Source organism: Homo sapiens, chromosome 8 (genome assembly GCF_000001405.40).
Source record: "Homo sapiens chromosome 8, GRCh38.p14 Primary Assembly".
Taxonomy (NCBI): Eukaryota; Metazoa; Chordata; class Mammalia; order Primates; family Hominidae; genus Homo; species Homo sapiens.
Genome location: NC_000008.11, coordinates 96210242 through 96222158, shown reverse-complemented (window position 1 = coordinate 96222158; position 11917 = coordinate 96210242). Strand labels below are relative to the sequence as shown.

Here is an 11917-nt window from a genome sequence, read left to right as displayed (position 1 = left end):
GATGACATTTGAACGTTGGAGAGGAGCCACCGCAGGAAGCCCTGGTTCTTTAGGTGGGCTGTGCAGAGAATCACCTGGGAAGCTTCAAAACAAACAAGCAAACAAACCCCAAATAACCTGATGCCTGGGTCTGACCGCCAGAGTTTCCACATTAATTGGTTTGGGAAGCAGCCTGGGATGCAGATGGTCCTAATGTGTAATTGAAGCTGATAAACATTGATCTAGAAAAGAACATTCTTGGCAAAGAGGACAGTGAGTGCAAAGGGCCTGTGGTAGGAATGAGCTGGGGGTGGCTGAGAAGGAGTTGACAGAGAAGGCCACTGTGCTGAATCCAAATGGAGAAGGAAGAGTGCCAACCCTCGGGTCAGAAAGGTAGGCACAGCCACCCCATGGAGGGCATTTTAGACCAGAAGAAGGAGTTTAAATTTTACTCAAATGCAACTGTAGGCCCTGGAGGGTTTTTAACAGTGAAATATGATTATAAGGCAAGTAGTATGTATAAACTACCTCATTCTTTTTAAGAAATGCATACAACTCCGGATTATGGATGTACCACAATTTATTCAACTACTTGCCTGTTGATTGACATTTGGGTTGCTTCCAATCGAATGTTATTACAAACAAAGCTGCAGTGAATATCCTTGTGCACTTGTGCTTTTGAATTTTGGTAGGATAGAATCCAAAGGCTTAAAAAATTTAGACAGGAAACATGGTTGGTAGGGAGGGGAGAAAATCCCTGTCATGCAAGGGAGAGAGATCTCCTAAGTTCAAATGTCTCAAATGCGTGTTCTACATCAGCCTGGATAAAGCCAGGTTTAGCAGACCATCAAGATTTTGCAACCAGCCACTGGAGTGTCCTACAATAACATTGAAGTGTGAGAAACATAGACACACCCAGCATTACTCAAACGGACATTTAATTTCTCATTAGGTTTTAATACTATCATATGTTGATTACATTGACTCTGCTTTCAGTTCTGTCCAAGTGATTTAGCTAACATATTGTAAGTTTACTCAGCTTTTTACAGTTCTATCATAAATCTGAACAGAATTTTCCTTTTAGAGAAGTATATGATTTTTTAATAATTTCCATTGTCTAAAGAAAAGGAGCCTAGTATGAATGTTTATCTACTCAGAAAGTTTTTTTCTTAAGCCACTTCCACCTTTTTTGCACATTTATATACAAATAAGTTTTAATTTGTTCATGCAACTAATATTTATTCATACAATGTGTTAGGTGTTGGCATGGAAAGATGAATCACATTCAGTCCTTGTTCTTACTGAGTACAGTCTGGAGGGGTGATAGCCCAGTAAGCAGACAATCACAACTCAGGGAGAGAGAGGCTCCTTCACAGGAAGCAGGAGGTGGCATGGGAGCATAGAAGATGGGTACCCAACCAACGCTGGGGTGTAGGCTAGAGGTAGGTAACATTCAGTTGGTAATAAGCAACTGAAATGGACTGTGGTTTAATTCAGCAGAAATTTGTATTGAGAGAATATCATGGAATCAGTGAGAAGGTGTGTTAGTTTTCTATTGCTGCTGTAACAAATGAAGAGACTTAGTAGCTTAAAGCAACATAAATTTATTATCTTACAGTTCTGGAGGTCAGAAGTCCAAAATGAGCCTTATGGGGATAAAATCAAAGAGTTGTGAGGGCTGGCTCCTCTGAGGAAGAATCAGTTCCTGGAATCTCTGAGTTTCTAGAGGCTTCCAGCATTCCTTGGCTGATGTCCACATCAATCTCTACTTCCATTGCTACATGGCCGTTGCCTATCTGTGACCCTCCTGCCTCCCTCTTATAAAAGCTCTTGGAATTACACTGGCCCACTTGGAGAATTTAGGATAATCTCCCCATCTCAAGGTCCTTAACTGTATCACATCTGCACAGTTCCTTTTGCCATGTGGGTTAACATACAGGTTCCAGGGAGGAGGATAGGAATATCTTTGGGGAGGTTGTTATTCAGACAGAGGGCAAGAAAGAAAAATGCAAGAGAGGTATGGATAGCCTCAAGTACATAGCCGAGGTCCTGCCCAGGACCTGAAGCATTGCATTGGCCACTGCAGCTGCAAGCCCCTGCTGCTGCCATGAGTCATTTCTCAGCTATCCTTGTGCCTGTGTGATTCCTGCAAGACAAAGTTCCTGAGTTGGAACATATAGTTGGTGAAGCCTGGTTCAGGAATACTGGGCCAGCTATCAGGAGAAGGCATATAGTTTCTGATGCTCTGGTAACAGGATGGAGGGGTTTACCTTCCACCAGGACTCACACTATGAAGGGTTCCTTCCCTCCACCCAGGAGGCAGCATGTTCAGATGCGGAGTTCTGATGTGGACACATCTAACACCTAGACACCACAGGAAGGAATGGATAATTGGGGGGTCCTCGTGGAGCAGGAGATGCCTGGGCTGGGACTGATGAAGGGTTTTAGAGTAACTCAGGTGAGTTCTTTTGTCTTTCTTCAGGTAACTCATTTAAGGACGCTTGGGCCCTTTATCAGGTTGTCATTTTCCAAAAAACTTTGCTAATACAAGAGATCTGAAAAGAAATCAAAGCTACACAATGCATTTCAAGAACATACGAACAGGCTGGGAGCAGTGGTTCATGACTGTAACCCCAGCACTTTGGGAGGCTGAGACGGGCAGATCACCTAAGGTCAGGAGTTTGATAAAAGCCTGGCCAACATGGCGAAACCCCATCTCTACTAAAAATAGAAAAATTAGCAGGGCGTGGTGGCACATGCCTGTAATCCCAACTACTCGGGAGGCTGAGGCAGGAGAATCGCTTGAACCCGGTAGGCGGAGGTTGCAGTGAGCTGAGATCTCACCACTGCACTCCAGCCTGGGCGACAGAGCAGAATTACATTGGCCCACGTGAATAATTTAGGATAATCTCCCCATCTCAAGGTCCTTGACTGCATCACATCTGCACAGTCCCTTTTTCCATGTAGGTTAACATACTCGCAGGTTCAGAATCTGCCTGAAAAAAAAAAAGACCATACAAACAAACAAAAAAAAAATAGATTCCTTTACACTTTAATACATTCCGGGTCAGTGTGCAGATTGAGATGATCTTTCTCAAAAGCAATTTGGCAGCAGATGCTGTCTTTAAAAAGACATACCATTTAACCCAGTAAGTAATTTCACATCTCAGAATGTAAAAGGTGTATATAAAAATGCAGAGATTTATGTACAAGGATGTTTATGACAGCATTATTTATAGTTCAAGTTACTGTTCAAGCATAGTTAGAGTTACTGTTCAACCGTGGGAAGATGGCTGGTGGAATGTTATTCACCCTGTAAAAGTGATATTCTCAAAGGGTACTTAAGGATATGGACAAATGTGCATGTATTCTTGTTAACTGAATAAAAAAGCAGTTTCAAAACAAAATATACAATACCAGTATTACAAAAAACCACGTATGGGTTTGGAAAAAAAAAAGACTAAGCAGTAGTTTTCCATAAATTTTTAGAGGTTTGTGCCACAGATCTTTTGAAATCTATCCAGATTGAAACTCCATAGACTAAAAGGGTATTTCTGATTACTGAAATTAGAAATGATGGTAAGCTTTTTATGTATGCTTTTTCACATTTTCCAAATTTTCAGTGATTTGTTTTTATAATCAGAATGTGTTCTTTTTTAAAATTAATGGTATTGGAAAAATTAATTTGTGATATAAGAAGAAAATCAAGGAGAAAAAATACATACGTGGTACAATGTTGTTCTTAATTCTTAACCTGCAGTGGTTCTAATGTACGACACACACCCAGGCCCTACCCTAGAAATTCTGATTCAGCATGTATATTAGTCTGTTTTCACGCTGCTGATAAAGACTTACTTGAGACTGGAAAATTTACAAAAGAAAGAGATTTATTGGATTTAAATTTCTGTGTGGCTGGGGAGACCTCACAACCATGGTGGAAAGTGAAAGGCTTGTCTCACATGGTGGCAGACAAGAGAAGGGAGCTTGTGCAGGGAGACTCATGTATTTTCTAAACCATCAGATCTCATGAGACTTACTCACTATCACGAGAACAGCACAGGAAAGACCCCATGATTCAATTACCTCCCACTGGGTCCCCCCAACAATACGTGGGAATTCAAGATGAGATTTGGGTGGGAACACAGCCAAACCATATCAGTATGCAAACAAGCAAACACAAAAAACGTGAGAATCATCTGAATGCCCCGGCCAAGGATTACCAACATAGTATAACTCCAAACATGTACATGTTTCCTATATTGAAAATCAGACTCCAAACCTTCCTCAACTGGAATGCCCCATTTCTCTTCAGTTTTTCATAACTAAGATATTTGATGATTCTTCAGTTTCTCTGCTTTTCATTTCTCCACCTCCTTCTTACTTCTTAATAGCATGCATCTTGCTGGAAAGCACTATCCTAACTTATATCTTGGAATTCTCTCATTCTTTAATATGCATTTTGGATTGAATCTGTGTCAGAACCCTCACAAATAAGTTTGCCAGCATTGCGGGCTTTGCTACCATTTAAATGATTTTAAATACTTAACTATTGAAAAGTGGCTTTTATTGTCCCATTTTGGAAGACCTGGGAGCAGTTTGTTGACGGCAAGAAGTCCTACATTGCCCTCCAGAGCAAGGGTCAAATCTTAATGCCTTTAATTAGGAAATTGACTCAGTAACTTGGTGATCAAAACTTGGTATAAAAGCAACACATCAGATATCTTTCATTAGTGGGAGAACTTCCTAGTGGAAAATTGGTTGAGAAGGCGAAGAACATGCTGAACCATTTGCTGCAACTCGCTTCTGGGGTTAGAGGGCACCTTATGTCTCTTACTCAAATATTTGCAGCACAAGGTGATCATGAATAGGTGGTCCAAAAAAAGAAATAGTCACTTTGGGGCTGGTCACTGGTTTGTCTTTCTTTTTTCTCCCTAAATTGCTTTTTTTTCAACCGACATTGAAATTTTGATATAAGATTTTGTTAGCTAGCTAACTTGAATATTGAGTCCTAAATACATTGCTTAGCTGACTGACCCATATTTTAAGCCTTTAATTGTTGAGATTGTTATCTGAAGATCATGAAAAAGTAAGAAAAACTGATTTGCCAATGAACAACTGTTTCAAATTATAACTTGGTTGACTTAAAAAGCAAAATATCAACATTAGACCTTAACACTTCAACTTGGAACTCGGCTTTGGGGCTTGATTGAATTTATAATCTCAATTTCACAGCTCAATTGTTCTAGGAGAAAAGGCTCGGTGGACTTTGGTTCAGAGATTTAAGATAGGGATTTGAGAGTAGAGGGGTTGGTGAAGGCAGTTGTTTAAATATCTGAAGAAATTCTTTCGTTTGACAAACAAGTTTGTCTTTGAAGTTTAGGCATTGTGCCTGAGTTAAGCAAAAACAGAAATATAGTATTTTTACATTTCTTTCTGATCGCTTAGAAAATCTTTACATGAATCCTAACCTGAACTTATTTTTACTCTGGAATCTTTACTGTCTTTCAACTGTGAAAATGCCAGCAGTAATTACAAATTGGAGCCATCTCTGCTGTGAGTTGACAGAGGTAGCTCAGTCTCATCATAATCCAGAGACACTTTGTGAAGTTTGGACACACTGGACATTTCAGGAGGAAGATATAGACAGACCCTGATACATGAAGAAATGGGATTGTCTGAGTAATTGAATTAAACAATCCTGGCTGAGTAATTCTGTATTTCAGGCAATGGAACATTGGGGATACAGTGGTGAATAAAGTAGATAAACTGTCTACCCTTGTGACACAGTGACAATAAATTAGCCTTTTGAGAACAAGGTGTGGGAGAGAAGAATTAATTAGACATTCTGTCTGTGTGAAGGTTGAGTAGAGGTGCTTAGCAGTGAGGATGAGCACTCTCTGGACTTGGTCCAGGATTGTGCAGTCTCTCTCTCTCTCTCTCTCTCTCTCTCTCTCAATCTCGTGTGTGTGTGTGTGTGTGTGTGTGTGTGTGCACGCGCATAAATTTTTGGGTGCTGGTGAAGCCTCAAAGAATGATATCTGCTATGAACTGAATGTTTTTGTCCTGCCACCAACTCCTAAATGTATATGTTGAAACCCCTAATTCCCAATATAATGGTATTTGAAGTTTAGGTCTTTGGGAGGGAATTAGGTCATGTGCCCTCATGATGGAATTAGTGCCTTATAAGAAGAGACAAAAGAGAGCTTGCGTCCTCTGTATCTCCTGTTTGGCATGTGACATTATGAAAAGGTGGCTGTCTACAAACCAGGAAGAACGTGCTCACTAGACACCAGATCTGTTGGCACCTTGATTTGGAACTTAGCCTCCAGAACAATGATAAATAAACATTTGTTGTTTAAGCAGCCCAGCCTGTGGTATTTTGTTATAGCAACCTGACCTAACTAATATGGCATCTAATAGATCTTTTTTTGGCTGTGTTATGATTATGAGGCTGGTAATTTTCTAGTCCTCAAACTAGATTCAAGCTACATGCCTTTGGTGGGTCACTGGTTGGATATATACATATTATGTCCAGCATTTGCACCTCAGTCTCATCCACATTTGAGGGCACTATGCATTTTCCTTCTTTCTCATCAGGGTGAGCACCCATCCATGCCAATGCCATGTTAAGGCATGTATCAGGCCTCTCTGATCGGCTGGTTGGCAGGCATGCTGGCAGCTATGGACCCTGTGCCTAGGTCAGCGCGGTGAGATCTGTATTTTTGGCAGGACCCAGTCCAAGGAGCCAGTGCAGCTGCTGTTCTCTCCCTATGTGGTTCTCTCTGCTCTTCCAAGCAGCCTTCACTTGCTGCTCTCCAACCATGGGAATGGGGGTGGGCATGTTCCCCAGGCCACTTAGCCATTAGTCTCACACCTTTGCTTAGAGGACAGACTGGGTCTGGGGTTGGGGGGTAGTTAAGGGGCTCTGAATTCAGACTGTCTGGGTTCAAATCCCAGCTCTGCTGTTTATAAGCTGTGTGACCTTAGACTGGTTGCTTAGCCTCTCTGTGTCTCTGTCCCCTCATCTATAAAAATGGGGATTATGATAATATTACTTATTTCCTAAGATGATGATGATGATTATTGAGATGGAGTGTTGTTCTGTTACCCAAGCTGGAGTGCAGTGGTGTGATCTCGACTCACTGTAACCTCCACCTCCTGGGTTCAAGCAATTCTCCTCCCTCAGCCACCCGAATAGCTGGGACCACAGGCACCCACCGTCATGCCTGGCTAATTTTTGTATTTTTAGTAGAGACAGGGTTTCTCCGTATTCTTCAGGCTGGTCTCAAGCTCTCTACCTCAAGTGATCCTCCTGCCTTGGTCTCCCAAAGTGCTGGGATTACAGGCGTGAGCCACAGCACCTGGCCTATTTCCTAAGTTTATTGTGATTAGGTAGGTAAGTGAGCAGAGCAGTGCATGGCACTTACTTTGCTTATAATCATAATATGCGTTGCTTATTATGATTTCACAGGTTGTAACACACAACTAAACCCTGACCTTCAGATGTCCAGTACTGGAACAGGCTTCTTTTCACATTTAGACTTGTTCATTTCTACATGAACTGACAGTGGCTGGAATAGAAAAGGGGCTTATTTTACTGATTTGGAGAAGAGGCGCCGCAGGGAAATGTGACCTGGAGGGCAACGCGAGGAAAGTGGGTCAGGGTCCCAAGAAGTCAGTATCAACTGTTCTAGACCAACCAGCTGGTCTGACAAATGAAAAAGCCCTGCTCCTTCCCATTTCCCCTCAAAGTCTTGACCCTTCAGGAGCGTGACTACCTACAAGTAGCTGAGAGTGAGAGGAATAGGGGAAAGAGGCAAGGGTCTGTTTTGTTGCTTATTAATAACTAGAGAACAGACCTCGGGGTATGTATGGACTGCATGTGTTCATTCTCTCCTAACATCCACCCTGCCTTCCCCACGCCTACCTAACCACTGGCAGTGAACGAACCATCAACAAAGGTTTACTTGTGTGTTGGATTTTTAAGGGGGAAAGTCCTAGATTCGTACATTTGTAAAGAAAAAATTATCTGGCCCATATCTTTGCCTCCCGTTGTCAACAGCAGATTGGTGGCTTCCAAAGTTTCTCGACCACAGAAAGCTGAGCTTCCCAGCTCTAACTTTCTGTGTAAGGTGAGACTGACCTCAGAGTTTTGTATTTATCATTGGATTTTGCCAAACAAACCAGCTTAACGAAAAACATGGAATTGAGAACGTCTTCACAGGGCCAAAACCTGAGCAGTAACAAGAACAGAAACTTAGAAACTTGGCGTTTGGGTCCCCATTTGTTTCTGAAATACTTTTCTTGTCCTCTCCCTCTCTTCCCCCTGGAGTGTTTAAACATTTGAATAAAGATTTCATTCAAAGGGAACTGATTGGCTCTCCTGCAAGTGGGGTGGAAGATGCGTCATTGAGCGTCAGCAGAAGGCAGGAAGGTGGTATTGCTGGCACTATTTACGTCAGGGGATCAACTTTCTCTTTGGCTGGTGTTTTGTTATTAGAGTTTGTTTAAAACTGGAATCCTTAGAGTCCCTTTCTGAATAGCACCATCAGCATCTTTCTCAGCAGCAAAGATGTTTCTTTCCATACCTCAGATCTGCCCTTTAAAAACCAGACCATGTCAGTTGGTTTGTTTTGGTCTTCTGGACAGTGGGGTTTTCAGACTTTTTGAAGTCTTAGAAACTTTATCAAAAAAATAGGAAACTTGATTAAGAGATGTGCAAAGTACAGTTCTTTGTAGACAATATTTTGTGTTAAAAGGGATCTTATAAAAGATAACAATAAAATATTAGGGTGGTAAGGATAGAGGTTTAGGGATTGTAATAAAATTCAGTTCAACCCAACAAAACTTTATTGCAATTATATTGTTATGCTCTTCCCTAGCTAATGGTAACTGAACCATGTCAAGGGCAGAAAGGTAAAAAAGAATTGTGGGGATGATAGAGAGAGAGGAAACAAGTATGGCTTTGGAGTTGTAAATTTTAGGAGGTGGTGGGATGGTGATGTCTTTAATTGAAAAACAAGAAAATAGGTTTGGGGATAGAAAATTGTGGTTCTATATTGGATGTATTGATTTTAAGTGCCTGCATGACATCCGTCATCCAACCATAAACTCCATGAAGACACCAAGACTCTCGTATTTTTGTATCTGGAGTACTTACTACCCAATAAATGTCTGATAAATGGTTGAATTAATGAATTAATGGCTCCATGTGGAAATGGCCACCATACAGGCAGGAAAGTAAATTTGGTGCTCCAAAGTAGACCTGGATCATTAATTTAGGAAAACCCACAGAGAAATGATCGTTGGCTCTCGGAGTAGATACACTGAAGAGTGAGTGTTGAGTGAGAAGAGAAGGGTACTCAAAACAGATTTGGGGTATTGCTTATGTTTCACTAGTGTCAGCCTCCAGGAAACCCCCATGTCTTCTATACTACCAGGGACCCTGTCGGCCCATCATAATTGCCAGAATGGTTTGAGTAAAAGTCTGAGGATTAGAAATGAATGAGAAGCATATGATCCCTCCCACAAACTATGTCCATTGGGAGGTATGTTACAATAGAAAAAGCAAGCCTCAGAGGAATTATGCCACACATATTTATTAGCAACAAAAGACATTCATCCAGTCTTTTCTTGTAAGTTTGGTGAAGTCCTAGATTGCCCGCAATATTTTGCATGACATTTTCTTGAGGCAGATGAACTAGCAATGCAGCCAGCTTCTCTTCTAGGCTAATGGGATAAATCCTGCTTGAAGTAGAGACACACAGGACCAAACGGAGCGTTAAGCCTATGGGGCCGTGTGATCTAAAATCAAGACCCAATATTGTGTGCTGCCTTGGATCTTATAAAATCCATAGGGTCTCAAATGGCCTAACTACCAGTTCCCCTCCCTCTGTTATTTTGGATAAGGTCCCCCAGCCAAACAAAGCTCCTTATCATGGAAACCACAAACAGTTTCTGCTTATCTCTGAGTAGCTAGTTTTATTCCCTGCCAGCCTGTGGAATTATTCAGACAAGCCTATTGCATCCTCCTGCAGGAACTAGGGGGGCGTCTCACCCTCTTGATACTACAAGCCTGCCTCCCACAGCCCCTGGTTGTTCACTGCATTCCCAAGTATAACCTCCGTGCAGCCCTGCATGGCATGCAGTGTCTCCTCCCAGGCTGTGAGTATATGTGACTAATAAACTGCTGTCAATCTCACCTGTCCAGCTGTGTGTTCAGCTGTCCTCATGACCTCAGAGCAGAATCTCTTTCTCACCAACAGGGTGCATAGGAGGTGATTAAAACAGGACCTTTTGAAGGAATTAGGTTCTTAGCGTCACCAAATCTAATAACCTGTTCATGTAAGGAGCCTGCGCAGCATTTCTAGCCAATTCCTATATATTTAGCACTACTCCTTTCCCCAGTGAGGACATTTGTATAACAGTTTTGTTGTTGTTTGAGATGAGGCCTCCTATGTTGCTCAAGCTGGCCTTGAACTCCTGGGCTCAAGTGATCTTCCTGCCTTAGCCTCCCATATAGCTGAGGCTATAGGTGTGTACATCACACCAGGCTCTTGTAACATTCTTTATTAAAAATTTTTATTGATTTATTTTTATTTTGAGAGGGAGTCTCGCTGTGTTGCCCAGGCTGGAGTGCAATGGTGTGATCTTGGCTCACTGCAATCTCCACCTCCCGGGTTCAAGCAATTCTCCTGTTTCAGCCTCCCAAGTAGCGGGGATCACAGGCATGCGCCACCATGCCTGGCTAATTTTTGTATTTTTAGTAGAGACAGGGTTCACCATATTGGCCAGCCTGGTCTTGAACTCCTGACCTCAGGTGATCTGCGCGCCTTGGCCTCCCAGAGTGTTGGGATTACAGGCGTGAGCTACTGTGCCTGGCCTTTAGTTTACAGACCTGAGTGCAGCATCAAAGCCCTTGTGGTAGCTGCTTCCAGAGTGTATATGCCTAATTAGGGTTTTCCAAATGCTAACTGTGCTTCTGATAGGTTACTCCTAGGATAACATATACATATATTTCACTCTATGCTGAGGTATTTTAAATCAAATTACAGACAGTGTTAGTTCTTGTTTCCTTTAATGTTGAAATCAGTTGGCTTGAGCTTCTTTTTCTTATAAGGTGGATATCTACTATACCTTTTTCTAGCTCTCTTGGGATTTCATGATGTGTTCACCTCTTACCTCTCTTCTAGTCAACTGCTATCTCTGAATTTGCAATCTCTTGTGTGCATTCTCCCTTTCTCAAGCCCTTGCCCCTTCAGGACATTACCTTGGTTCCTTTACTCCCCAGATTACCACTGACTGTGAGTAGCAGACTTTACTGAAGATGCAGGGCAAGGAGGGACCTTTCACCTAAATTGAATACTAGAAGGGTTGCCAGATTTAGCCAATGAAAATATGACTCTCAATTATCTTTGAATTTCATGTAAACAAGTAATTACGTCCCAAATATTTGCATGGCATCCTGTATTTTATCTGGCACCTTTTTTTTTTTTTGAGATGGAGTCTCGCTCTGTCTCCCAGGCTGGAGTACGGTGACGCGATCTCGGCTCACTACAAGCTCTGCCTCCCGGGTTCACGCCATTCTCCTGCCTCAGCCTCCAGAGTAGCTGGGACTACAGGAGCCCGCCCCCACGCCCGGCTCATTTTTTGTATTTTTAGTAAAGACGGGGTTTCACCGTGTTAACCAGGATGGTCTGGATCTGCTGACCTCATGATCCACCTGCCTCGGCCTCCCAAAGTTCTGGGATTACAGGCGTGAGCCACCGCGCCCGGCCTTATCTGGCAACATTAAATACTAACCCCCAAATAATAAACCCTAAATAGACATCTCCATTCTTACTCCATCAACTAGAAATCACTCCTGATCTCCTTTCCCGACATTTAACAACCAAAGAGCAGTCATAGTTATGAGAGATAAGCTGTGGACTGAAAGCCT

The 11917-nt window shown here is 42.2% G+C and overlaps 1 annotated feature.

Annotated features, from left to right (window-relative positions):
* Positions 9971-10213: a silencer, noted in NCBI's record as "fragment chr8:97224174-97224416 (GRCh37/hg19 assembly coordinates)". NCBI's record gives its function as "represses an EF-1alpha promoter that drives an FKBP-Casp9 reporter gene in an ReSE screen in K562 erythroleukemia cells {active_cell/tissue: K562}" and the evidence as "EXISTENCE:reporter gene assay evidence [ECO:0000049][PMID:32094911]".